Source organism: Homo sapiens, chromosome 21 (assembly GCF_000001405.40).
Source record: "Homo sapiens chromosome 21, GRCh38.p14 Primary Assembly".
Taxonomy (NCBI): domain Eukaryota; kingdom Metazoa; phylum Chordata; class Mammalia; order Primates; family Hominidae; genus Homo; species Homo sapiens.
In genome coordinates, this window is record NC_000021.9 from 36632372 (window position 1) to 36658475 (window position 26104).

Below are 26104 nucleotides of genomic sequence, written 5' to 3' on the forward strand. Positions count from 1 at the left end.
GCCAGGAACTTACAAGAAAAGTGGCCCCTGCTTCTCCCGGAACTGATGGTTCAAAGAAGCCAGCAGTCAGGCTGACAGCAGTCCTGCCAAACCTTCTCTCAGATGCAGGCTGTCCCTAAATGATAACAAGCTCCTGGAGGATCTGGGATGCCAGGATGACTGAATGCTCCTGTCCTCTCTCAAACCATCCAGCAAAGGGGCCGAGAGCTGTTTCCTCACCCAGTAATGCAGGCAAAATGCTGCATGAACTGGACAGAATTCATGAGGGTGTTCTGGTTGGAACTATCTGAATAATAACTGCTCCGGGACTGTGGGTTGTTTGATATTTTATTTCCTAAGAAGGGTAGGGGAAAACATGTAGGGACCCAATGTCTTGGTCCCAAAAGATAAACCCATCGTGGGGCCTGTGAAAGAAGAATGACATCCTTATCTCAGGCTGTTCTTGGACTCTTCATCACAGGGTGTCTGAGCCTGTGTGGATAAAATGTTCTGGAATAATGGGGCCGCTCTTTCCTTCCCCACCCCCATCCAACTGTGAAACAAGTTGTCATCTCAGAAGTGCCACAGAAGGGGGTGGCCTCCTGATCCACTTCCCGACTGACCTCACAGCCTCCAAGTCCTGGCTGAAGATTCCAGGTGGTAACTGCAGGGGCTGGACAGGAATGGTGCAGGTCTGAGCATGTGCACACTGACAGCTGTGAGCGATGGGGGACCCTGGCCATGCAGAAGAGGCACCTGCTGCCACCACACCCTGTGGGGAAGTGGGTGTGGGGAGGAAGAAAAGGGAAACATCCTTCTTGGTGGCAACTTCATAGCACCAGTCCCAGGATGAGTGGAGATGGCCACTACACAGTCTCCAAGTGACAGGAGCAGAGTCTGGCCACACGAGTCCCATCAGGAGAATGTGGCCCCGCAGGGCCTTGGCCCATCCACTCTTACCCCAGACCTCCTGGGAACTGCACAGGGCCAATCTTACATCAACCTGTAAAGACCCCTTGGCCACTTCCTGGGAAGGAGGACTGGGGCAAGTCACCGAATATCTCTTGACTTCACCTTCTCTTGCACAACAGGAAACATCAGAGCCACTTTTGTTATTGTAAACATTGAATGCATGGAGCATGTAAAGGTCCTTCCTAGAGTAGGATAAATGGGAGACTTCCTTCTTCAAAGGCTTCACTGTTTCTTAAAGCTGAGTCCTCCTGGCTCAAAGAGAGCAAAGATAAAGGAATTAGGAGCAGCCTCTCTCAAGCCAAAACTTACCCTTTTGCATTGATTGCTTCTGTAACAAATTCAAGTATCCCTATTGGCAAATAGATATTTTGGGCAGACTAAAGCAAAGATAACCAACAATGCAAGACTTCACATTTTAAATTGTTTCAAATGTTAAAGCTACCAGCCCAAGACCACCAGGAACACACTTGTCAAACACAGTGAGTTGCATTAGCTTGCAAGGGAGCACACACTGGGGAGCTATAGACTTCTCAAATAAGGACAGTCAGGAAGGGTATCATTATGGGAACTAGCAGGGGATGTGGGGTCATTCTTGGGAGGACTGGTCAACTTGTAAACAAGGTGAGTTGCTGGGACAGCATCTTTCCTTTAGAATACATGCAGTACACTTAAGCCTGTGCCGTTACTGTGAGATCAGCGTGCCCATGGTCTTCTTGAGAACATAGCCATCTGAATAAGGGTGAAGTTAGTTCAGGCTGCTTTAACAAAATGCTATAAATTGAGTGGTCTATAAATGACAGAAATTTATTTCTCGAGCCCAGGGTGGGTGGATCACTTGAGGTCAGGAGCTCGAGACCAGCCTGGCCAACACAGTGAAACCCTGTTTCTACTAAAAATACAAAAATTAGCTGGGTGTGGTGGCGGGTGCCTATAATCCCAGCTACTCAGGATGCTGAGGCAGGAGAATCACTTGAACCTGGGGAATGGAGGTTGCAGTGAGCCAAGATCATGTCACTGCACTCCAGCCTCAGTGACAGAGCAAGACTCTGTCTCAAAAAAAAAAAAAAAAGAAAAGAAAAGAAAAGAAAAAAAGAAATGTATTTCTCATAGTTCTAGAGACTGAGAAGTCCAAAATCAAGGCATAGGCAGATGCCATGTCTGGTGAGGTCCTGATTTCTGGTTCTTAGGTGATGCCTTCTTTCTGTGTCCTCACATGGTAGAAGGGGCTGCCTTGCTCTAGGGGTGGAGAGGGAACAGTTGTCTTTTAAAAGGGCACCAATCCCATTCATGAGGACTTTCCCCCAAAACGCCCCCCCACCATGACTTAATCACCTTCCAAAGACCCCACCTCCCAATACCATCACCTTTGGGGTTAGGATTTTAACATATGCATTTTGGAAAGACACAAACATTCAGACCCTAACAATGAGCTTAGATAGTTTGTCTTGAATGTTATGGTTTGGTACAGTTTATTGTTTGAGAGTTTTATTGCTTGGGAGTTTTTATACCACAGTTTTGCAAGCTGAGGCTTCTGTTTCAATTGTTTCCTTTTGCAGCCTAGACGCCAGTAGATTCATTTTTTTAACTTTATTACACCTGATTTTCAAACTATTGCATATTAAAATTATAGGGCCTTTTCCTGATTTATCAACTTTAGAACACAATCTATTAACTTATAGCTATGAAAGATGGGTGATTTGCTTATCTGTAATACTATCCACCCAGCACCTCCAACTTCACCTAATTTTTGTTTTATTTTAGTTTTTGTTTTTTTTTTTTTTGTTTTTTTTTTGAGATGGAGTCTCACTCTGTTGCCCAGGCTGGAGTGCAGTGGCATGATCTCGGCTCACTGCAAACTCAGCCTCCCGGGTTCATGCCATTCATGCCAGCCTCCCCAGCAGCTGGGACTACAGGCACATGCCGCCACGCCCATATAATTTTTTGTATTTTTAGTGGAGTTGGGGTTTTGCCGTGTTAGCCAGGCTGGTCTTGAACTCCTGGCCTCAAGCAACCTGCCTGTCTCGGCCTGCCAAAATGCTGGGGTTACAGGCGTGACTCACCACACCTGGCCTGGTTTTTGTTCTTCTAATGATTATATTTATAAATCTAAACCAGTGGTTCTTAGCCGGGGGCAATCTCCCTCTCCTCAGGGGGCATTTGGCAATGCCTGGAGACATATTTTGGTAGTTACAACTTGGGGAGTGCTATTGCCATCTAGTGAGTCCAGGCTGGCAATGTTGCTGAACATCCTACAATGCACAGGACAGCTCCCACAACAGAGAGCTATCCAGCCCAAATCTCAATAGTGCCAAGGTTGAGAAGTCCTGCTTTAAACAATATATTAAAATCTCTTGACCCACCAACTATAGATAATATCTGACTTTGGATCTATAATGAAGGACATGACCCCTCTACTTCATTCCAAATCTTCCCTCTCTTTCCTCTCAACCTAGTCAAGATTTGAACATCTACATTCTACTTAGTAACAATAACTAAGAGTTTGGCCTCAAGGTTGGTTCTAAAAAGTGAAACCCAATAAACAGTATTCATAATACTATGATTATGCAAATATTGGTGTCTGTGAACTGTATGGTGACACTCAATCCACCAAGAAAGAAATTTGATTTTTTGCCACCAACTTGGGACCCTCAAAGGAGACTGAACAGAAGTGTTAAGGTCAACTGGATTCTCTTTTCTTACACTTCATGAGTAGTTCACATCATACCCTATTATATTTGGCTTCACATTTAAACCATGACATCTTTGCAGTTTCTTTATTTTGGTCATGCTTTAACTGTTGTCTTAAATGTTTGTTCACAAAGGAAGCAGATTGCCTCACCTCGTCATATGATCATGTAGCTTCTTAATCATGCTGCTTGTTAAGAGAATCTGCTTTCTTTGTAAAGCTGTACTTCCTGAAAGCTGCTTTTGTTCTAATTTGGAATATTTGCTTTCTAGTTCTGCTGTGTGGCTCTCATCTTTCCTGCAGCTAAGTTCCCTTATTCCTGCAGCCAACTTCCTTTTGTTGGATCCTTTCTAGCTCCAAGAGGCCATGGTGGGCAAGTGCTAGGCTCTGGAGCTACACTCCCAGGTGCAACTTCTAGGGCCACCACAGAGTAGCTGCACAACTCTGAACAAGTTATCTGATCTTTCCATATCTGTTTCCTTATATATAAAATGGGATTGTGATGATAAAAATAGTAACCCAACTCATAGGGTAGTTGTGAGGATGACGTTAGTTAATGTATATAAAGTGCTTAAAAACAGTGCCTGGCTTTTAGTAAGCCCTCAGTAAGTGCTAGCTATTGTGGTCATTATTTTGCTGGAGCATATTCTTAAGTAATCTTTTCAGACAGAGTACCAGGAAGGTAAAACTTTTAGTCTTTTTATGCATGAACTGCCATTATTTTGTCTTCTCGTTTGATTGACAGATTGCTAGACATAAAGATCCATGGTTAAATCACTTACCTTCAGAACTTTGAAGGCATTATCCCACTGTTTTCTAGCATCCAGTGTTACTGATGAAGAATCCAATGCAAATCTGATATTCATCCCTTTGTAGGTGTTGGTTTTTTGTATTTGTGAGTTTTTAGGATCTTCTCTTTATGTCTAGTGTTCTGAAATCTCACAAAATTGTGCCCGGGGTGAAATTTAACCTGTTATACTTGTCCAGCATTTGGTGAACACTTTCTAGCTGATCCTTGTGTTTCTCTTCAGCTCTGGTACATTTTTAAAACTCCGGTAATTTCAAATCAATTATTTTTTTCTGAATATTTTCTCCTTTCAATTTTCCTCTTTTGTATTTGTGGGATTGCCATCTGATAAAATGCTGTACTTACTGAATTGGTCCTCCATGTCATCTACATTTTCTTTCTTATTTTCCAACTTTTTATTCTGGAAGATTTTGTTTACTTATCTTCCAAGCTTTTTATTAGAAGTTTTATTCTGGTAATAAAGTTTTTAATTTTCAAGAACTTTCTTATTCTCTAAGTGCTCTTTTTTTCAGAGCAACCATTCACATTTTATGAATGTAATATCTTCTAAGTTTTTTCTAAGAAACTTATTAGAGGTTCAGATAGGAATTTTGTTTTAAGTTCTTACCTGTTGCTTAATTAATCTATGCTTTCCCTGGCCTCAATTATTCTATTTATCCTCTTGGTCCTCTTATTTGGGGCCCTTTTTCTTTTAATGTATGGTGACCTTTGGTTGCCATTTGTATATGCACCAGTAACAGGACTGGTTAATACAGGTACTGTTACTGTGTAAGTCTGACCAACTGCTTGGATCGGCTAATTGGGAATTGTGACCCATTTGTTCTCTAGTATTTCATCTTCTCCCTGCATAGACCTCTTGCTCTTCTCTACTGGATTATTTCATGGGCAATGAGCCCATCCAACAGCTCCAGCAAGTCCATACCTATAGTGTGAGCTAGCTCAAGATATCTCTTCAAGGGCTTCATCAACACTGGGGCAAATCTCCAAAGATACCCCCTAGGTGCCAGGTTATCACATTTCCTGAATGCCCAGTAGATACCTATCTCTGTCCAAAGTGTATACCAGCATTTTGTAGGCAGGGGGTTAGAAGCCCTGAAATTAAGACATCCAAGTAGCCCAGAGTAGCCTGTACAGTCTGCTGGTGCCTACATGTATAATCTTTCCAGATGAGCTGCAACCCAATTGACCAGGCAGTGGGGTCCATTTGAAACAATGGGCGCTGATAAACCATTGTGGCAATGCCCAGAGTTATCAAGGCAGATGTTGGATCTTGAGACTTAAGGCGCTGTCATGGAACTTAACAATACGCCGTAGTCCTCAATTCATGTCTGAAGCATTAATGCTATTTTCATTTATTTCTGTCTTTCATATGCAGTGGGATCTTAACAAATTGAGGCCTAGAGATGGACAGAAAGACTCCCAGGCACCAGAAAGCTATTTCTTGCAGCCACCACGTTGCTGTGATTAACAAAATAGTTGGATGCATTTTCCACTCAAAAGTGGCTACAGGGGGAACTGAGTGTGAGTTGTTCACTGTCAACTAACAGCACCATTAGAATTATGTTAAAGCTGAGCTAAGAGAAGCAAGAGAAAGGATGCTACTCAAGAAGAATCTTCTAGTGAAAGAGTGAAAACTTTATTGGTCTCAATGGCAGTGGTGAATCAAGGACTTTTTTTTTTTTTTTTTTTTTTTTGAGATGGAGTCTCTCTCTGTCGCCCAGGCTGGAGTGCAATGGTGAGATCTTGGGGCTCACTGCAACCCCTGCCTCCTGGGTTCAAGCAATTCTCCTGCCTCAGCCTCCTGAGTAGCTGGGATTACAGGCACCCGCCACCACGCCCAGCTAATTTTTTGTATTTTTAGTAAAGACGAGGTTTCACCATGTTGGCCAGGCTGGTCTCGAACTCCTGACCTCGGGGGATCCATCCGCCTCAGCCTCTCAAAGTGCTGGGATTACAGCCCTGAGCCACCGTGCCCGGCCCAAGAACTTTTTAAATTCTGTGCAACCAAGAAATTCAAAACTGATCTACATGCCCTGTCCAGGTTGACCAGTTATCCCGCTAAACTAGTAACCACCAGAGACTGAGCCTGGAGTGGGGGCTCTATCTGTGCCTTGCTTAGTTCTTCATTTTGATTAAAAATACAAATGCCTATATTCTACCCCTAACCCCTTTACTGACTAATTCATGGGATCCATTTGACCGCTATTGATGTTTTCTCACTTATTAAAAAAAATAGTTTCAGTGTAATTATTCTGAGTTAAATACATTTGCCTCTTTTTATCCTAAAAATTGGAAGTTGAAGAATCCTTTTGTTGCCCTTAATGAGCTACCGTAGTAGCTTCCTAGGGCTGCAGTCACAAAGTATTGCAAACTGGCTGGCTTGAAATAACAGAAACCATTCTCTCACGGTTCTCGAGGCAGACATCCAAAATGAAGGTGTTGGCAGGACTGGTTCCCTCTTGGAGACTCAAAGGAAGAACTGGTTCCATGCCTCTCTTCTATCTTCTAATGGTTGCTCTTGGTTTGCAACTGCGTAACCCCAGTCTCCATCCCTGTTGTCACATGGCTGTTATCCCTCCGCATGTCTGTGCCTTTACATGGTGTCCTCCTCTGTATGTGTGTCTCTGTATCTATTTTCCTCTTCTTATAACTTCCATCTTAGTTACATCTGCAAAGACTCCATTTCCAAATAAGGTCACATTCACAAGTACCAGGAGTCCAGACTTGAACATATCTCTTGCAGGGACACAGCTCAACCCCCAATGCACAGTGTGCCTGTCAACTTCCATACACACTGGTTTGGTTCTATCCCAGGAAGTGGGGAGCCAGGGCTGAGAGACCAAAAATCCTAGATCCTGGTCCCAAGTTCTCAGCCCATGACTACGCATTACTGTTTCTAACAATGATATCAAAGGATCCTAAAGACTGGTTATATTGAAATACGCCAAAGACAACCTCTAACCCTGAGGCCCAGAAAGCCCCAGGAATCTAAGCTCTCAGTCTTGGACCCAACAGCAAGCCCTCTCTCAACTACTCTGATGGTCTCCTGGCCCCGACATCAGCATGTGTAGCCTCCTGCTGCCTGTCTGCAAAGCCGTCCCTGCACAATACACTCTTCTAAGCATCTCAGAGAGGACAGGATGTGGCTTTGCATGGTAGTTGGAAATGATCAAGAAAATATATATTTACCAAAATCTGAGCTGAAATTAGGATATCCGGATGCTGAGTGTTAATGAGCAGCGTGTCGGTGTTTAACAACCGGGGCCACAGGCCATCAGTTTCACAGGACTCATTTGAATAATGCTTCCAACTGTACAGACAGTGCAGGGAAAGCAGTACACAGATTGGCTTATCAGGAAACACATAAAGGAAAGGAGGAGGGGGAAAAAAACCCCATGGGATCCTGCAGGCTAAAAAAAAAAATGCTAAAAGGAAAAATAAATGTACATGTGTACCTCTTAAGTCTCACAAATCTGCAGGGATTTGTAACTCAGGAAAACCCTGAAGTGAAACACAAATCAAAAAGGGACCAAGGGCCATAATCCACATTCCTAAATTAGTTGTCTTTTCCGGTAATGAAAAAAGAATCAGACTGTAAGTATACAATATCTCTCCCTGTCATTGCCGCTTCTTTCATTGCTTTCTTAAAATATTACAAAGCAAACAAATCCTGCATTCTAATCCATTATAAACCAGTTCCATATCTAATCAACTTGAAGCCAAAGCCATCTGAGCAGTGCAAACATTTTTTAAAAGAGTCATTCTAAGATAAGCAAAACAGGAAATTGGAGGTTGACGATGATGAAACTGATATCCAAATGGTAATCTGAGCAGTAAAGTCACTAAACCCTTCCTGCACCATAAACAGAGTTTCTTGGGATGTGTTTCATTCGCTTTCCCTGGCGATTTGGCAGTAGGTTGTACCAGTTAGTACAAATCATCATCTTTCTCTTCCTTACCCCATGTCGGCAGACCGCGGCCAGGATGCGGGATCCCAGGGCGCCAGGCGCTCCCATCTGCTCTGCTGAACAATGTGTGGTCCACCCTTTATCCAAGCTGCAGAGGGGAAGGGCAGATGGAGCCACCTTGCCTTCTAAGTGACTTCAGCAAAAGCACATCTGTCCTCCAGGGCAGGTTCTCGACCCCAGCACTATTCACATTTTTAGCTGGATCGCTTTTCGTCGTCGGAGGCTGTCTTGTTCGTGGTGGGTTGTTTAGCCGCACCCCTAGCTTCTACCCACTAGATGCCAGTAGCACCCCTCCCAGATATGACCATCAAAAAATGTCTCTGAACATTGCCAAATGTCCCTGGGAGTGGGAGGCACAATCACCCCCTGTTGAGAACCACTTAGAAAGAACTTTTGCTGGGAAGAGCTCAGAGCATGCATTTAAACAGTGTTCGGTGTTCTCGCATTAGCCTTTCCCAAGGGAATTAGTTACTAACTGAATGTCACCTTCTCCACGAGACTTCCCCTGAGCACCCTATTTATGCTCACTCACTATTTTCATTACTTATCATGTTAACTGTTTAATATTCTGCCTCCCCTGTTACACTATATGTAGTTCCAGGCACAGAGTAAATGTTCAAAAACATTTGTTGGCCAGGCAAGGTGGCTCATGCCTAGAATCCCAACACTTTGGGAGGCTGAGGTGGGAGGATCACTTGAGGCCATAAGTTAGAGACCAGCCTGGTCAACATAGTAAGATCCTGTCTCTACTGAAAGAAAAAAGAAAAAAATAGCCAAGCACAGGGGCATGTGCCTGTAGTCCTAGCTACTTGAGAGGCTGAGGCAGGAGGATTGCGTGAGCCCAGGAGTTAGAGGCTGCAGTGAGCTGTGATCATGCCATTGCACTGTAGCCTGGGCAACAGAGCAGGATCCTATCTTTAAAAAAAGAATTAAAATAAATTTTAAAACATTTACTTATTTGACAAATAAATGGAAAGAAACCAAACTTCACATAGTATAAACAAAGAAGAAATGAGTTGCCCATCTAACTAGGGTGATGTGGTGAGGAGGACCCAGGGCTCCTGGACTCAGTGCCACAGCCACGGTGCCAACAATGAATTCAATGACACCTGCTTGTCAGGGCTGTTGGGGGTTAAATAGGGTCGTGTGTGTATGTGCCTAACACGCAGCGCATGTGTGGGTGCTCCGGCCTGCCCCGCCTTCCCTACCTCTTTTCTGATGCAGCATCCTCAGCTCTTCCCCAGGGTGCTCCCTGCCTGTGGACTCCTGGGGCCCAGGCCAGACCCTGCCTGCAGATGATTTGAGGACCCGTGTCTTTAGCAGCCTGTTTGGTCTGAGGCCTGGGTCCATGGTGGCAGACCACTTGCCAGACCAACCCCTTGGCTGCCTGGCCTGTGAACTCCAGCCGCCCCACCTCTGGCCAGCACCCTGGGCCCATGCACAGTTCGACCTGGGCGAAGCTCTGTCTGCCACCTGGGACCCCCAAAGGTGCCACCTTGCCTGAGCCAGGCACTCCCTGCTCTCCTAAAGTCACTCAATCTTAGGAAATGTCTGTTGTCCAATCTGGCACACTCCATGCTGTGGGTGCTCACACTTCTTAGACGTAGTGCTCCACTGGGTGTGCTCTGTTCTTGGGGTAAAGCTAAGTCCTTGTGGCTTTAGACCAGAGAAGTTTCTTTCTGTCTTACAGGGAGTTCCAAGTAGTGAGGGCTGCTCAGCTCCACACAGTCACTCAGAAACCCAAGTCCCTTTCCCGTGTAGCTCCCCCATCCCCATGGCTTTCTTGTTGTCTACGTGACTGAATTCACTTGCCTTCCCCTGCTTCCAGCCAGGGGAAGGGGAAAGAGTATGGAGGAGATGAGTCCTACACAGAGACATGAGTCCCATATCCAGAAACGGCACTTCCTTACATTCCCATGGGCAGGAATCTAGTCCCACGGCCACATCTCACTGCAAGAGAGGCCGCAAGGTGCAGGCAGAAGGGAGGGCAGGCAGAGGGGAGATGTGGGGTCCCTTCCCCACTCTTCTCCAGCAATCATTTCCTGAGTGTTTTGCTGACTGCAGTCACCTCCACTCCAGTGAGCTCCTTAATCCAGCAGAGAAGACACACACCCAGAGCACAATCTAAGAGGACACAGAGGAGTGGGCAGCTGGCTTGGCTGTTGCACTTGAAGACAGGATCCCAACCAGGAGCAGACGGGAGGCGGCATTCGAGCTGGCGTCTATCTAAGACAAGAGGAGGAAGGACAGGGTGAGAATTTTGCCTGGTCTTAAATCCATATGCCCTTGAGTTTTTTCAATCCTTAGGAAAATGAGTGAAACAGACCTGGGTCATTTGACCATTAAAGATTTTGGACAATCTCTGCAAGAGTTAGAGGCACCATGTGCCCCAGATCATCACCCTTCTCCAAAACGGTCCCTTGGTTTGCTTGGTTATTTTTGTAGAGACAGGGTCTCTACAATGCCCACACTGGACTTGAACTCCTGGGATCAAGCAATCCTCCTAAGCAGCTGAGACAACAGGCACATGCCACCTGGCTTGCTGACCTCCATTTCTGTTTCCAGGAGAGATTTTTTGTTTTGTTTTTTGTTTCCAGACAGGGTCTTGTTTTGTCACCCAGGCTGGAGTGCAGTGGCATGATCATGGCTCACTGCAACCTCAACCTCCTGGGCTCAAACAATCCTCCCATTTCAGCCTCTGGAGTAGCTGGGACCACAGGCACATGCCACCACCATGCCCAACTAATTTTTTTATTTTTATTTTTTGTAGAGATGGGGGTCTCACTATGTTGGCCAGGCTAGTCTCAAACTTCTGGTCTCAAGTGACTCTCCACCTTGGCCTCCCAAAGTGCTGGGATTATAGGTGTGAGCCAGCACACCTGGCTGGGAGAGACTTCTTGATTAGCAGAAGGCAAATTTCATTAATTCAAAGACAAAGCCATGTTCAATGAGTTGCCAGAAAAATAAAAGTTGATTTAAATGTCCCATGACTAAGTACTGAGTCATCATTTGTCATTATTATTTTATTATTTCTTACTTGTGAGAAATTATTTTATTAATATTTTTATTTACCTTTATTATTTCTCAGCTGGAGAAACCCTACAGAAGGGTGCTGGTCATGCAGCCTCATGGCCACCGTGTCCTCAGCAGGCCTGGTTCCTTCCCCCCAGGACCACGGAGGCACAGCCGCCCCTCAGGGGCATAGCATACGGTGTGGTGCGGCCCCTCTTTTCCTGAGCTGAGATTTTTTCGTCTTGTCACGCCCCCCATCTCCCATGCGGCCTCCTCTTCCCAAGACCCCTGGCTTCACTGCAGACTTAGCCACCAGCTCCGCATCATTTGCCCAGCCTGCAACCTCCCGGAGGTGCTTCCCCGCCTCCCAAGACAGCGGGTAGGTGCCAACTGCTAATTTTCTTCCAGTGGCCCACCCTTACAACTCATCCATTGCACTCCAAAAGATTGTTTTTTGGAGGACATTTTTTTAAATTTTATTTTTTCCATAAGTTATTGGGGTATGGGTGGTATTTGGTTACATGAGTAAGTTCTTTAGTGGAGATTTGTGAGCTCCTGCTGCACCCATCACCCGAGCAGTATACACTGCACCATATTTGTTATCTTTTATTCCTCACCCCCCTCCCACTCTTCCCCCCAAGTCCCCAAAGTCCATTGTATCATTCTTATGCCTTTGTGTCCTCATAGCTTAGCTCCCACGTATCAGTGAGAACATACAATGTTTGGTTTTCCATTCCTGAGTTAATTCACTTAGAATAAAAATTTCCAATCTCATCCAGGTCATTGCAAATGCTGTTCATTCATTCCTTTTTATGGCTGAGTAGTATTCCATCATATATATATATGTGTATATATATATGTATATGTATGTATATATATGTGTATATATGTGTGTGTGTGTGTGTGTGTGTGTATACACCACAGTTTCTTTATCCACTTATTGATTGATGGGCATTTGGATTGGTTCTATGACTTTGCAATTGTGAATTGTGCTGCTATAAACATGCGTGTGCAAGTATCTTTTTCGTGTAATGACTTCTTTTCCTTTGGGTAGATACCCAGCAGTGGGATTGCTGGATCAAATGGTAGTTCTACTTTTAGTTCTTTAAGGAATCTCCACACTGTTTTCCATAGTGGCTGTGCTAGTTTACCTTCCCAGCAGCAGTGTAGAAGTGTTCCCTGATAGTAAAAGGATATTTTAAATATAAAAGAAATGCAAGGTGTTGTGGTGGTTAATTGTAGGTGTCAACTTGGCTAGGCCGTGCTGCCCAGTTGTCTAGTCAGACATCAGTATAAATGTTGCTGTGAAGGTATTTTTCAGATGAAATTAACATGTAAATCATTGGATGTTGAGTAAAGCCAAGTACCATCACGTGTGTGGGCCTCATCCAATCAGCTGAAGGCCCTATAAAGAGACTGGAGTCCCCTAAAAAAAAAGGAATTCTGTCTCCTGAAGGCCTTCAGACTCAGGCTGCAATCAACTCTTCCCTGGGTCTCTAGCCTGCTGGTCTGCTCTGCAGATTTCAAACTTGCCAGTCTCGGCCAGCCACAGTGGTTCAAACCTATAATCCCAGCACTTTGGGAGGCTGAGGCAGGCACATCACCAGAGGTCAGAAGTTTGAGACCAGCCTGGCCAACATGGCGAAACCCCGTCTCTACTAAAAATACAAAAATTAGCGATGCATGGTGGCAGGTGCCTATAATCCTAGCTACTCGGGAGGCTGAGTCAGGAGAATCACTTGAATCTGGGAGGCAGAGGTTGCAGTGAGCCGAGATTGTGCCACTGCACTCCAGCCTGGGTGACAAGAGCGAAACTCCATCACAAACAAACAAACAAACAAACATCTTGCCAGTCTCCATGATCCCGTGGGCTAATTCCTGAAAATCTCTTTGCGTATGTGTGTGTGTGTGTGTGTGTGTGTGTGTGTAATATCTCTCTGCATATGTGTGTGTGTGTGTATATATATATATATATAGAGAGAGAGAGAGAGAGAGAGAGAGAGAGAGATCATATACATATATAAAAGTATATGATATACATTCTATTGGTTCTATTTCTCTGGAGAACCCTGGCCAATAAATCAGTGCTACTCATTGATCAATGTTTCCTTGTCCTGTATGTTTTAAGGTGTCTTCATTTTCTTTTTATGATCCTGAGTTGGCCACCAACCAACAAAAGTATTCTCCTCCTGAGTGGCACACTAGATATTGTTCTCCTAAAAATTCAGTCGAGATTCCAATATTTGGTCAACCCCACAAAAACACTCATGTTCTAGTTCAGTCAGGATAACAAATGAAACAGTTCCCAACTTACCCAACTTCGATTGTCTGACCGAACTCAGGCTCACATGATATTTATGTCTGAGTGCCCCACAAACACACAACTGAATAAACAGCCAATTCACTTCGAAAAATTCCCATTTGGCCACAATCTTGCAGCTGTCTGTGAACTCTGCCCCGCCTGAAACACACTTTGGTGCTACAAAGAGCATTCTCCTCCCCGGACACCATATCCTGGGAAGCAAGGAATTGTTTGGAGATGCTCCCAGCTGGCCACCCAGTCTCTGTCCTCAGGGATCCAGAAAGCTCTGGAGGCTGCCTGGCCCTCGGCACTGACCTGGAGCAGAATTGGGAAGTAAGTGGATGTGGCTTTTTCTACCCGTGGGCTCCAGGAATCAGCCTTTTCCAGCTCCTGTGGAGTCACCCATGAGATTTCCATTAGGAATACCTTTTTGTTTCTCTTGGGACTACTTGTTGTTGGTTTACTTATTTATTTATTTATTTTCATTTTCCATTTTGGCTTTCACATTGCAAAGAATGGGCCATGTGGCAGGGACACCTCTGCTTTGAGGCCAGCATGGGCACCTTACACCCCCAAGTGGGCTGCAGAGCCTAGCCGGACTGAATCCCATCAGCAGGTTCTTTTACTTCTTCCAAGATGGTAGCACTTCCTGCCTGGCAGGCACTGCTGCTAGTCAGGTTGAGAACGTCCACAACTCGCCATCCCCACGTGTGTGCAGACATGAAATGCCTACGTGGCAAATATCAGGCCTGGCAGAACCAGGCAAATATTGACACAGCCAGGTGAGGGGAAGCATTCATTCTTTCTGTCAGCATTTACAAAGCACCTACTAAGTGTCAGGGCTTGTGCTAGGTGCCAAGCAAAACCAAACAGGGCCACTGCCCTCCTTGTGGGAGGCAGGCACGAATCCTATTTATTTTGGGTCTCAGAGTCCTGGTCCCAGAGCAGAGATTCCATAAACATTTTAAATTGTGTGTGTGAGTGAGAACAGGAGAGGAGAGTGCATGGGAGGGTTCGCACCTGACATGCCCACACTAAAAAGCGGACCTCCACCTTTAGTTCCTCCCTAATGGAGAGCCATCACCGACACTCCATTAGGGAGAAAAAAAACAACTCGTTTTTCTCTTGAGAGTCGGAACAGTATTGGTTTTCAATGTTTCAAACCTATGAACAAATACCCCCATGTGTAAAGTCCCATTTCACTCAAGAATCGTCTGTGTTGATCTCAAACACACATTTATGTTTCTTGGTTGGAAAAGAAGAAAAACACTAAACGAATTTTAGTGACCATTTCTTTAAACCTGAGAGGATGGGGAAGCTCAGCTTTCAGACTGTATCAGCAGGGGATGCGATTCCACACTCGGGTGTCATGTGATAGCATTCACAGAGCACAGGAAATACTTCCGCCCGCCCGTCAGCCGGGACAATGGGACTGAAGGTAGCTGGGGGAGAAGGAGGGGTATGAAGGAAATTTCAAGGAAGACAATGAAAAGTTGAGTAAAATCCTTCATTGTCAAAATGAGATCAAATTAGCAATGGTCTCAAAAGCTGTCCAAAGTGAGGGACCCTCCTTCCCCATCAGAGACTTTCTGTTTAAGGAAGTCCACACCAGCAAGAGTTCCCTAAACAGTGTGTTTTAGGAGTACACCCCAAGAACACTCACTGAATTCCCTTTTCCCTAACCTTCTAGAAGCCTTGCCCCAGTTTTATCCCTGTCCTTACTGTTTGCTTAACCCTGTGGGCCAAAGCTCCACTACAGCCATGGATGACTCACAAGCTCAAAATGCCTTCGTCCTAAGCTTCACTAGCCGCACGACTTTACAATTGTTCCCAACACACTCTGTGTGCTACTGCAGGCGTCTCTGGGAAATATTTATCTGCCCCGTTGCAGTTCCAGGTGCAGGTAGAAGAGAGGACGCGGCTGTTGAGGACACAGCTGTTGAATCCATTCCCACCTTTTGCTGTGTACATAAAATACATAGTGGCAGGGCCATAGGACTTCCTGGGCAAGGTAGACCAAGGTGACAGAGTCCAAGTAACTTTGAAAAAAAAAACAAAAACAAAAAGCCCACACACTCTGCCAGGTGTGGTGGCTCACACCTATAATCCTAGCACTTTGGGAGGCCGAGGTGGGTGGATCACTTGAGGTCAGGAGTTTGAGACCAGCCTGGCCAACATGGTGAAACCCTGTCTCTACTTACTAAAAATACAAAAATTAGCCAGAAATGGTGACAGGTGCCTGTGATCCCAGATACTCGGGAGGCTGAGGCATGAGAATCGCTTGAACCTGGGAGGAGAAGGTTGCAGTGAGCTGAGATTGCACCACTGCATTCCAGCCTGGGCAACAGAGTCAGACACTGTCTCGAAAAAATAAAAATAAAAAAAAAACCTCACACACTCTATATACATACTATAGAATATTACTCAGTCATAAAAAGGAGGCCAGGCATGGTGGCTCATGCCTGTAATCCCAGAACTTTGGGAGGCTGAGGTGGGCAGATCATTTGAGGTAAGGAGTTCAAGACCAGCCTGGCCAACATGTTGAAACCCCGTCTCTACTAAAAATACAAAAAAAATTAGCTGGACGTGGTGGTGCACGACTATAATTTCAGCTATTAGGGAGCCTGAAGCAGGAGAATTGCTGGAACCCAGGAGACGGAAGTTGCAGGGAGCAGAGATTACGCCATTGCACTTCAGCCCTGGGTGACAGAGTGAGACTCTGTCTCAAAAAAAAAAAAAAAAAAAAAAAACACAACTAAAAACCCACATGCTGTATATGCATGTGACAGAATATTACTCAGCCACAAAGAGGAATAGTTCTGGTCACCCTACAGTATGGATAAACCTTGAAGATGTGCTGGGTGAAGGAGGTTAGACACAAAGGACCACACATGACATGATTGTATTTATATGAAATGCCCAGAATAGGCAAATCCAGAGAGACAGAAAGCAGATTGGTGGTTTCCAGGGGCTAGGAGGAGAGAGGAATGGGGTGCAACTGCTTAGTGGATAGAGGGTTTCCTTTTGGGGTGATGAAAGGCTTTTGGAACTAGATAGAGGGAGCGGGTGTAGAAATGCCACTGAATTGTGCACTTTAAAATGGTTGGTTTTATGTTAAGTGAATTTCACTTCAATAAACCCACCCCCACACACACGCACACATGCATGCACACTTATTGCTTACATCCCCAAAAGAGGCCATGATTTTTTTTTTTTTTTTTTGAGACAGAGTCTCGCTCTGTCGCCCAGGCTGGAGTGCAGTGGCGCGATCTCGGCTCACTGCAAGCCCCAAGAGGCCATGATTTTAATCTTTGATTTCACCTGGATACCCCTGGCAAATTGTATTTATATTTTAAAAATAAAACTCCTTGGCTTTAGGGGTGTAGAGGGCCCAATTCCAGAACATTTGGATCTCTCCTCTCCGGAGAAACACCATCAACTCAGGAATAGAGGCGTTGAGGGAAGAACACGCAATGGCCAGGACTTCCCCGCCGGCCCGTGTTCCTGATGCATGGCTGATTTCCCTTTAGCCGAATGCAACGATAACAACAGTGTCCTTGGGAAGCCACCCTCCACCCATTGCCTTCCACATCTGCAATAGGGGTTGAATGACATGGAGTTTCTTGTTTCGGTGCTTGAAGAATGATATGGTATGTCAGATGTCACGGGACATTAAATAAAGCTGCTCAGAGATGGAAATTGTTACCGTATTTATTTGGAAGTACCAGCAGCCACTTAATTGCAATTTGCAGAAACAAGCTATTGGCTGAGAGTTATTTTTATCAGTTGATTCCACGGTGGATTAAGTGTTTCTGCCATTTCCAGGGTGAGCATCAAATGCCACAGGCTAACCTTGGAGGCGGGCATCATCTCCCAGTGAGCCTTGGGGGACTGATGGAATTTGGTGAGGCGCTAAAGCACCGGGCCTGCCCGGGGGGCCTACCTCATCTCACAGCTGGTACACAGATCCCTCCCTGAACATACCCCCAAAGAGGCTCATGGCTCATACTCCTGTGTCAGATGAAGGGCCACCACGAATGTCTAGATTATTCCTTTTTTTTTTTTGAGACAGAGTCTTGCTTTGTTGCCCAGGCTGGAGTGCAGCAGCATGATCCCGGCTCACTGCAACCTCCACCTCCCAGGTTCAAGCGATTCTCCTGCCTCAGCCTCCCAAGTAGCTGGGATTACAGGCTCGTGCCACCGGGCCCGGCTAATTTTTGTATTTTTAGTAGAGATGGGGTTTCACCACGTTGGCCTCAAAATGAATTTTTTTCCTTAAAATTCATGGGTTAAAACTTAATCGCCATTGTGGTGGTATTAAGAGGTGGAACTTTTGGAAAGGGATTAGGTCATGAAGGCTCCGCCCTCAGGAATGGATTAGTACAAAGGACTGGAGGGGCTGGGTGAGGTGGCTCATGCCTGTGATCCCAGCACTTTGGGAGGCCAAGGTGGGTGGATTGCTTGAGGTCAGGAGTTTGAGACAAGCCTGAGCAACATAGAAAAACCCCGTCTCTACTGAAAATTAAAAAATTAGCCAGCCTGTAGTCCCAGCTTCTTGGAGGGCTGAAGTGGGAGGATTGCTTGTGCCCGGGAGGTGGAGGCGGCAGTGAGCCAAGATCGTGCCACTGCACTCCAGCCTGGGTGACAAAGCAAGACTCTGTCTCAAAAAAAAAAGAAAAAAAAAGGACTGGAGGGAACTAGCTTAGGCCCTTTTTGCTCTTCTGCCATGTGAGACATGGCGTTCGTCCCTCTGGAGGATGTGGCAACATGTGCCATCTTGGGAGTGGAGACCAGGCCCTCTGTGAGTGCCTTGGACTCCCGGCCCCCAGAACTGTGAGAAATAAATTTCTGTTCCTTACAAATTACCCAGTCTCAGGCATTTTGTTATAGCAGCACAAATAAACTAAGACACAGGGACCTGTATGTTGCCACTAGAACTCCTATCTATCTACCTGGTTAACTAGTCATCCATATCTCCATCCATCCATCCATTCATCCATCCAGCCAGCCAGCCAGCCCTATGTCCATCCATCCATTCATCCATCCAGCCAGCCAGCCAGCCCTATGTCCATCCATCCATCCATCCATCCATCCATCTGTCCATCCATCCATCCATCCATTCATCCATCTCTCTCACGGCCCTGCTTCTCTCTGTATTTTTGAAGCACTCAGGCTCTGAAACCCAATTATTGGACTTCAGGTCCTAGTAATTCCATACTGTATATCTCTGTGGCATTTGGTGATTTACTGAAACTCTCTGTGCCTTAATTTCTACATCTTCAAAATGGGGATACAAACCTATCTCAGAAGACTGATGAGAGGATTATTGAGTCACTCTCATAAAGCATGTTTGGGATAGTGTTTGGCACTTGGTAACTGCTCTGTAAATGTTAGATGTCACTATCATGACTGAAGATGGGCTCCCTGCATGTGGTTTGTGGGGTGGGGGGTGGAAAATAGCCACAGAGAGCTCCCAACCTATGCTGTTCCATCTCAGCAAACCTGAAGGAGAGGAAGAGTGTTGCTCTTCCCAGCATTGATACATAAAACCCCAGGAGAGAATTCTGGAGCCTTGACCTAGGTCACTGGCCCATCTCTGGGTCACTCCCTGTGGCCAGGGGGTGGAGTCCTAGGATTGACTGAACAGACGGCACCAAGCCATTCAAGAGGGATCTGCCACCCACGACCCAAACACCTTCTTCTAGGCCCCACCTCCAATAGATCTTCCTTCCTTCCTTCCTTCCTTCTTTCCTTCCTTCCTTCCTTCCTTCCTTTCTCTCTCTCTCTCTCTCTCTCTCTCTCTCTTTCTTTCTTTCTTTCTTTCTTGTTTCAGGGTCTCACTCTGGTGCCCAGGCTGAAGTACAGTGGCACAATCACGGCTCACTGCAGCCTCAACCTCCTCAGGCTTGAGCAATCCTCCTACGTCAGCGTCCAGGGTAGCAGGGACTAAAGTCATGTGCCACCACACTAGGCTAATTTTTAGAGATGGGGTCTCACTATGTTGCCCAAGCTGGTCTTGAACTCCTGAGCTCAAGCAATCCTCCTGCCTCAGCCTCCCAAAGTACTGGGCTTACAGGTGGGAGCCACCACATCTGGCCTGGGGAGATTGAATTTCAACATGAGGTTTAAAGGGGACAAACATCCAAACTATAGCAGCTCCCCACTAGAAACCTCCCAGAGTGATGAATATCAGTAATGCCCTACCATCTCCCCCAGGCTCCCACCCCTTCCCCCACGCCAAGGTCTAGCCCAAGAGCAAACCATGGGTTCTGTGTCTGCACCAGCAGGCGCATGGGGTCCTGTGGTGTGCCTCGGCCCGAGTTCACACACAAGTGGACCTCTTCTCCTTGGCACAAACACAGAATTAAGTTTGCCTCTCAGAGACCACAGTCCAGAGGTACCCCAATGTCAGAATCAGATTCCACTACCCACTTCCCTGGGGAGAGGTGAGCTTTAGACTCTGCCTGTCTAGACCCCAGATAGATCGTGGGGGACCTCTAGGGTACCTGTCCAGGAAACGTTAGGAAGTTAGATGAAGTAGAGGAGAAAATGGGCCCAACAGTGATTATGAGGACTGACAGGTCTTTGGGCCAAAGCGTTTGATACTTGGATGGAACCATGTGGGTACACTGAGGACACTTCCTTCTGTTGGCCTTTGTCACCCAGTCCTCTCTTCTTAGGATTTCCCGGTCTTCTCTTTTCCAATAACGTCCCCCTTTCCTGGCTTTGTTTTTCCCTCCAAAGCTTTATCTCTCCCCATACTGATCTGAATCTACAAGTGAGACTCATGGACATTTCTCCTCCACCTTATCTGCTGCTGAAGCCCTGCATCCACCCCCCACGCACACACCTGACAACCGGCAGAGGTAGACGTCTTTGTTTGTCAGTTATTGGAGACCAATGGCATTTTAAAAGGTTATTTCTCTTACAGGAAACTGTGTAGCCCAGGGACAGTCACCTTGTGAGCTTCTTTATTCATGAACCCTCACTCTTCCTCCAGGATTGATGGGTGACAGCTCCTTGCTCTGGGCCTTTCTTATATATATTTACAGTAGTCTCTGAAGTACATCTTTAATCAAAGGGGCCATGACTCATTGACACATCTTTGGAATATTACTGAGTAACTCATTAAAATGTTAATAGCTTCTGTCTGGATGTATTGATCTTGATGTCAACTATTCTTGGAATAATAAATAAAGTTGATTTTTAAAATTTTATCTTTCAACCATGCTGAGTGATAAGTGAGCCAAGGAGTGTCTGAAAGAAAATAAGTCACCTTGGAAGCCCCCGATGGAACAGAATCAAATAGAGAGGGTCCTATCCAGCTCTGTGATGACAAATGTTATGGCAGACAGAGTTAAGCTCAAACTCACTACAGAACAGGGGAAAACACCCAAAATCCACGGACCATGTTTTTTTTCCCCCAGGATGTTTCTAAGTAAATAAATCAACAATGGCAACTTTGAATCAATAATTTGTAAATATCTCTGGATGTCTCCAAGTGCTTTCAGCGGTGGGAGCATGAGTAACACCAGATTTCAAGGAACCAGCATCCCAGGAGCCATCTTTGGTTTTCTAAGACTAACATCCAAGATGGGCTTCCTCCGGCTTTCAGCCACGTGCGCCCTGCCTGCTGGCTTCTGCTAAGCTCCCCTTTCTACCTTTCTGGTCCTTGAAGACGTCAAGCCCACACCTAACTGGCCTTCTGCCCTTGATGGTCCCTCCATTGGTCTCTATCAAGGGCCTTCTGCCCTTGATGTTCTGCCTGGAGGGCTCTTTCAGCCTCAGCTGTCCATGCCGCTGCTGGAGAGGGTTCCTGAACTTCCCATCCTGAAACTGCCGCCACCCGCCCCCAACCTAGCCCTCCCCAGCCTGGGCCTGCTGGGTGTTTAAATCATCAGTGTGGTTTGTCTACCTGCATTTTCATGGCTCCTTCCAGAAGGACTTGTAGGGACTGTGTGTTTACCTTCTCCTATCTTACTCCTGGGTCCATGTGGGCACACAGTAGGCATTCAATAACTGTTGGTTGAATAAATGAATGGAAAGTCCCCTAAAATGAGGAAGAGATCTTGGGATGCCCAGAGGGATGAAGCTGAAAAAGTCTCTAACAAGAAAAGCAGGGGATAGGCTGGAAAGGGACTGCTGCTGAAAACCCGTTAAGAAATGTTTCCACTCCCAGGACAGGGAGGAGGAAGCAATTTAGTTGGAACGTGCATCTAGGCCTCCCATTACTCCCTGGAGCTCCATCACGGGAAAAATCCTTTACATGGATCCGTGACTCTGGGCCTGAGTGCCACGGTTTCAGGACGCGGTCAAGCCCTAAGTCAACGTTTCCAGAACAAACACCCGCGACCAGAAGCGGCAAGGGCCGCCAACACACCACATCACTCTCCCGGCCAGGGCCAAGTCCTGGTAGGAACATGATTATCATTCCTGACGATCTGCCGTGCCGGGCTGGCTGCTCTGATACCCGTCAATGGGCTCATTCAGCCAGGGCCCGGTTTTGCATATTATTCTTAATAAACATTCATAGCCCAAGCCATAATGGCTCTTTCAAGGCTCCTGCTTTGAATGCGTGGTAACAACAGAGTGCCTTTGTGTACTTACATGTAAAAATACACTGGCCACCCTGTTGATACGCAGCATATATATTTATAAATATTTATCACCAAGTCATGGCTGACATTTTCAAAATGCTGCTTTTGAAGTAGACCTCGTTTTTCTGTCTCCCAAGCTGAGAGGCCAGACGAGGTTAATTAATCCAATTTTGCCTAATAATGTGCAGTGTAATGATCTCCATGCCTTGGTTTATTTGTCAAGGGGGAGGGGGCTCCACGGAAAGGCCTCAGTGACTCCAAAAGGAGGGATTTCCCGACTGCTGCCTTGATCTACAGCCAGCCTGGGGTGATGGAGACGTGCCCGCAGCACCTTCTGGGGAAGCAAGAAAGAGAAGAAGCTGGTAGAGAAAGAGATCCAGGGTCTGGACTTGGTTCACCCCAGGGGTGGGGGTAAAGCTGCGGAAGGAACTTCTCTCCCAATTCCATCCCCTCTCCCTGCCCAAGCTCCTGGGAGACACTCTGATTACTGGGAAATAACATTCCAAACTCACGCCGATGGACTGGACAGGAACTCCTTGCCCTCCATGCTGTGGTCGATAGGGAAGCACTTGAACCAGGATCTGGGGCAAGGCAAGTGTTGGATCTGATCAAGACTGGCCAGCAGAAAGACCTGGTCTTGAAGCAGTGAAGAAGTCCATGATGCCAATGGTTTGGCTTCTCTCATTAGGTTGCTTTCACAAACCACCATGCGCTGAAGACTCCTTGGCAAACCTGATCCCTCTTGATTATCCCAACAAGGGCCTCCTGTTTTGTGCATTTTGACTCGTATTCAGACTCGTCTTCTAGCTCTTAAAGATGGGAGGCCTCTGCAACAGAACAATGCTTGGAAAGGGGATCTTTAAGCGTACCTAAACTCCCTGAGCTCTGACTCCCCCGTTTGGCTCTGCTCAACTCCAGTTTGGGTGTCAGCTTTGCACTGCTGTGGCTCTCAGTGTCCTGGGAATCCTGTTTACCAGTTCCCATTCTCCATCCACAGGTGGGCTCCCAGGTCAAGAGCAGATCTCACAGACCACTGCTCAAAGCTTATCCTGGCCAGGTGCAGTGACTCATGCCTCTAACTCCAGTGCTTTGGGAGGTCAAAGTGTGGGGATCATGAGGCCAGGAGTTCAAGACCAGCCTGGGCAGTGTAAGAAGACCTGTCTCTGCAAAATGTATCCATGGATTATGGCTCACACCTGTAGTCTCAGTTACTCCAGAGGCTGAGGCAGGACTGTTTGAGCCCAGAAATTCAAGGCTGCATTGAGCTATGATTCCCTTATCACCTCCTCAACCCTGGATTTGTCACTGTCCAGCTCTGTGGGGCCAGGTTTTCCATCCTATGCTTCCCTCCACCCCACACTCACCTTCACCCTCTTGTCTCTTTATTAAGCAAAACTGGGCTGCCAAATCCCAACACGTTTGTCCCTTTTAACATTCTTCAAACAAAACCTAAGCAGCAAAATTAATTTACTTAAAAAAAAAAATCAGGTGCCAGCGAGAGCCAGTTTAGATTTTAAGCCACTTTTTATTTGGCTCACCTGCATGCCACGGAAGCCCGTCAGCACCTGGTGCTCACTGACATGGTGTTTGAGTCACAGTTGTGTTACTCAATACACCCCTGTTGAGTGGATCAGCACCCAAGTGGGCATTCACTGTGCCCCACATTCACTTCCTCATACCATACGGCCAGAAACGCAGGGAAAAAAAAATCCCAGCTTTGCTTCCTAAAACCTGCGTGACCTTGGGCAAGTTACCTAACCTGTCTAAGCCATAATCTCTTCAACTATAAAACAGGGCTGATAAACTTACTCCACAGGGCAGGGGTGAGTACCCAATAAGACAATTTGAGAAAGCATCTAGCACGTGGCCAGGCCATAATACGTTCTCAACAAATCTCTATTGAATCAGTGACCAATGAAATGGCATTCTAGAAATGCATTTATTTCTGCTATTTAAAACAGGGTTAAAAATTTACAAGAAAAAAAAAACAAGCAACTTCATTAAAAAGTGTGGAGAGAACATGAACAGACGCTTTTCAAAAGAAGACTTACATGCAACCAACAAGCATATGAAAAATTCAAAATCACTGATCATTGTGGAAATGCAAATCAAAACCACAATGAGATGCCATGTAACACCAGTCAGAATGACTATTTTTAAAAAGTCAAAAAACAGGCTGGGCTTGGTGGCTCACGCCTGTAATCCCAGCACTTTGGGAGGGCGAGGTGGGTGGATCACAAGGTTTGGAGTTCGAGACCAGCCTACCAACATGATGAAACCTAGTCTCTACTAAAAATATAAAAATTAGCTGGGCGTGGTGGCATGCATCTGTAATCCCAGCTACTCAGGAGGCTGAGGCAGGAGAATCACTTGAACCTGGAAGGCGGAGGTTGCAGTGAGCTGAGATTGCACCACTGCACTCCAGCCTGGGCGACAGAGCGAGACTCCGTCAAAAAAAAAAAAAAAAGTCAAAAAATAACAGATGCTGATGAGGTTGTAGAGAAAAAGGAATGCTTATACACTGCTGGTGGGAGTGTAAATTAGTTCTACTTTACACTCCCATTGTGGAAGACAGTGTGGCAATTCCTCAAAGACCTAGAGCCAGAAATACCATTTGACCCAGTAATCCCATTACTGGGTATATACCCAAAGGAATATAAATCATTTTATCACAAAGACACATGCACATGTATTTTCATTGCAGCACCATTCACAATAGCAAAGACATGGAATCAACCTAAATGTCCATCAATGATAGACTGGACAAGGAAAATATGGTACATTTATACCATGGAATACTATACAGCCATAAAAAGGAACAAGATCATGTCCTTTTCAGGGACATGGATGGAGCTGGAGGCCATTATACTTAGCAAACCGATGCAGAAACAGAAAACCAACTACTGCCTGTTCTTATTTTTAAGTGGGAGCTAAATGATGAGAACATATGGACACATAGAGGGGAACCACACACACTGGGCCTTTCTGAGGGTGGAGGGTGGGAGGAGGGAGAGGATGAAGAAAAATAACCCATAGGTATGAGGCTTAATACCTGGGTGATGGAATATTCTCTACAACAAATTCCCATGACACAAGTTTACCTATGTAACAAACCTGCGCTTTTATCCCTGAATTTAAAATAAAAGTTAAAAAATCACGCCTGTAATCCCAGCATTTGGGAGGCCAAGGCGGGTAGATCACAAGGTCAGGAGCTCAAGACCAGCCTGGCCAAGATGGTAAAACCCTGTCTCTACTAAAAAAAAAAAAAAAACAAAAGTTAGCTGGGCATGGTGGCAGGCGTCTGTAATCCCAGCTACTCAGGAGGCTGAGGCAGGAGAATCACTTGAACCCAGGAGGCAGAGGTTGCAGTGAGTCGGGATCGCACCACTGCATTCCAGCCTGGGCAACAGCACGAGACTCCGTCTTTATTTATTTATTTATTTATTATTTTATTTATTTATTTATTATATAAAATAAATTTTATTTATAAAAATATATTTTTATTTATTTTTTATATATTTATATATTTATAAATATTTTTATTTATTTATTATATAAAGATAAATAAATACAAATTTAAAAATGAAATAAGGTTAAATAATACCTGGATAGCACCAGCAGCTCAATCTTGAGGCTTGTAGCACTAATAAGCTTTTGGAAACAAGTGAGTGTGTCCAGCATTGTTTAGCAGACATTCCCTCTCCCCTGGATGCCGTGGTACTTTATTTATGCTCTTGGGCATGTATCTTACCCCTGGACCATCCTACAGGTGGGAATCCC

The 26104-nt window shown here is 45.7% G+C and overlaps 1 long non-coding RNA gene across 2 annotated transcripts in view; it reads right to left on the minus strand.

Annotated features, from left to right (window-relative positions):
• Positions 1–309: 309 nt before the first annotated feature.
• LOC105369308 (uncharacterized) overlaps positions 310–26104 on the minus strand; it is a 66311-nt gene continuing 40516 nt past the window's right edge. The window contains exons 2-3 of one of the 2 annotated variants that reach the window (NR_188246.1): positions 4420–10635; positions 310–1199 (exon numbers count right to left, since the gene is read on the minus strand). This is a non-coding gene — a long non-coding RNA (uncharacterized LOC105369308). Of the gene's footprint in view, positions 1200–4419; positions 10640–26104 lie in introns of both variants that reach the window. The other variant, NR_188245.1, reaches the window with a different exon arrangement.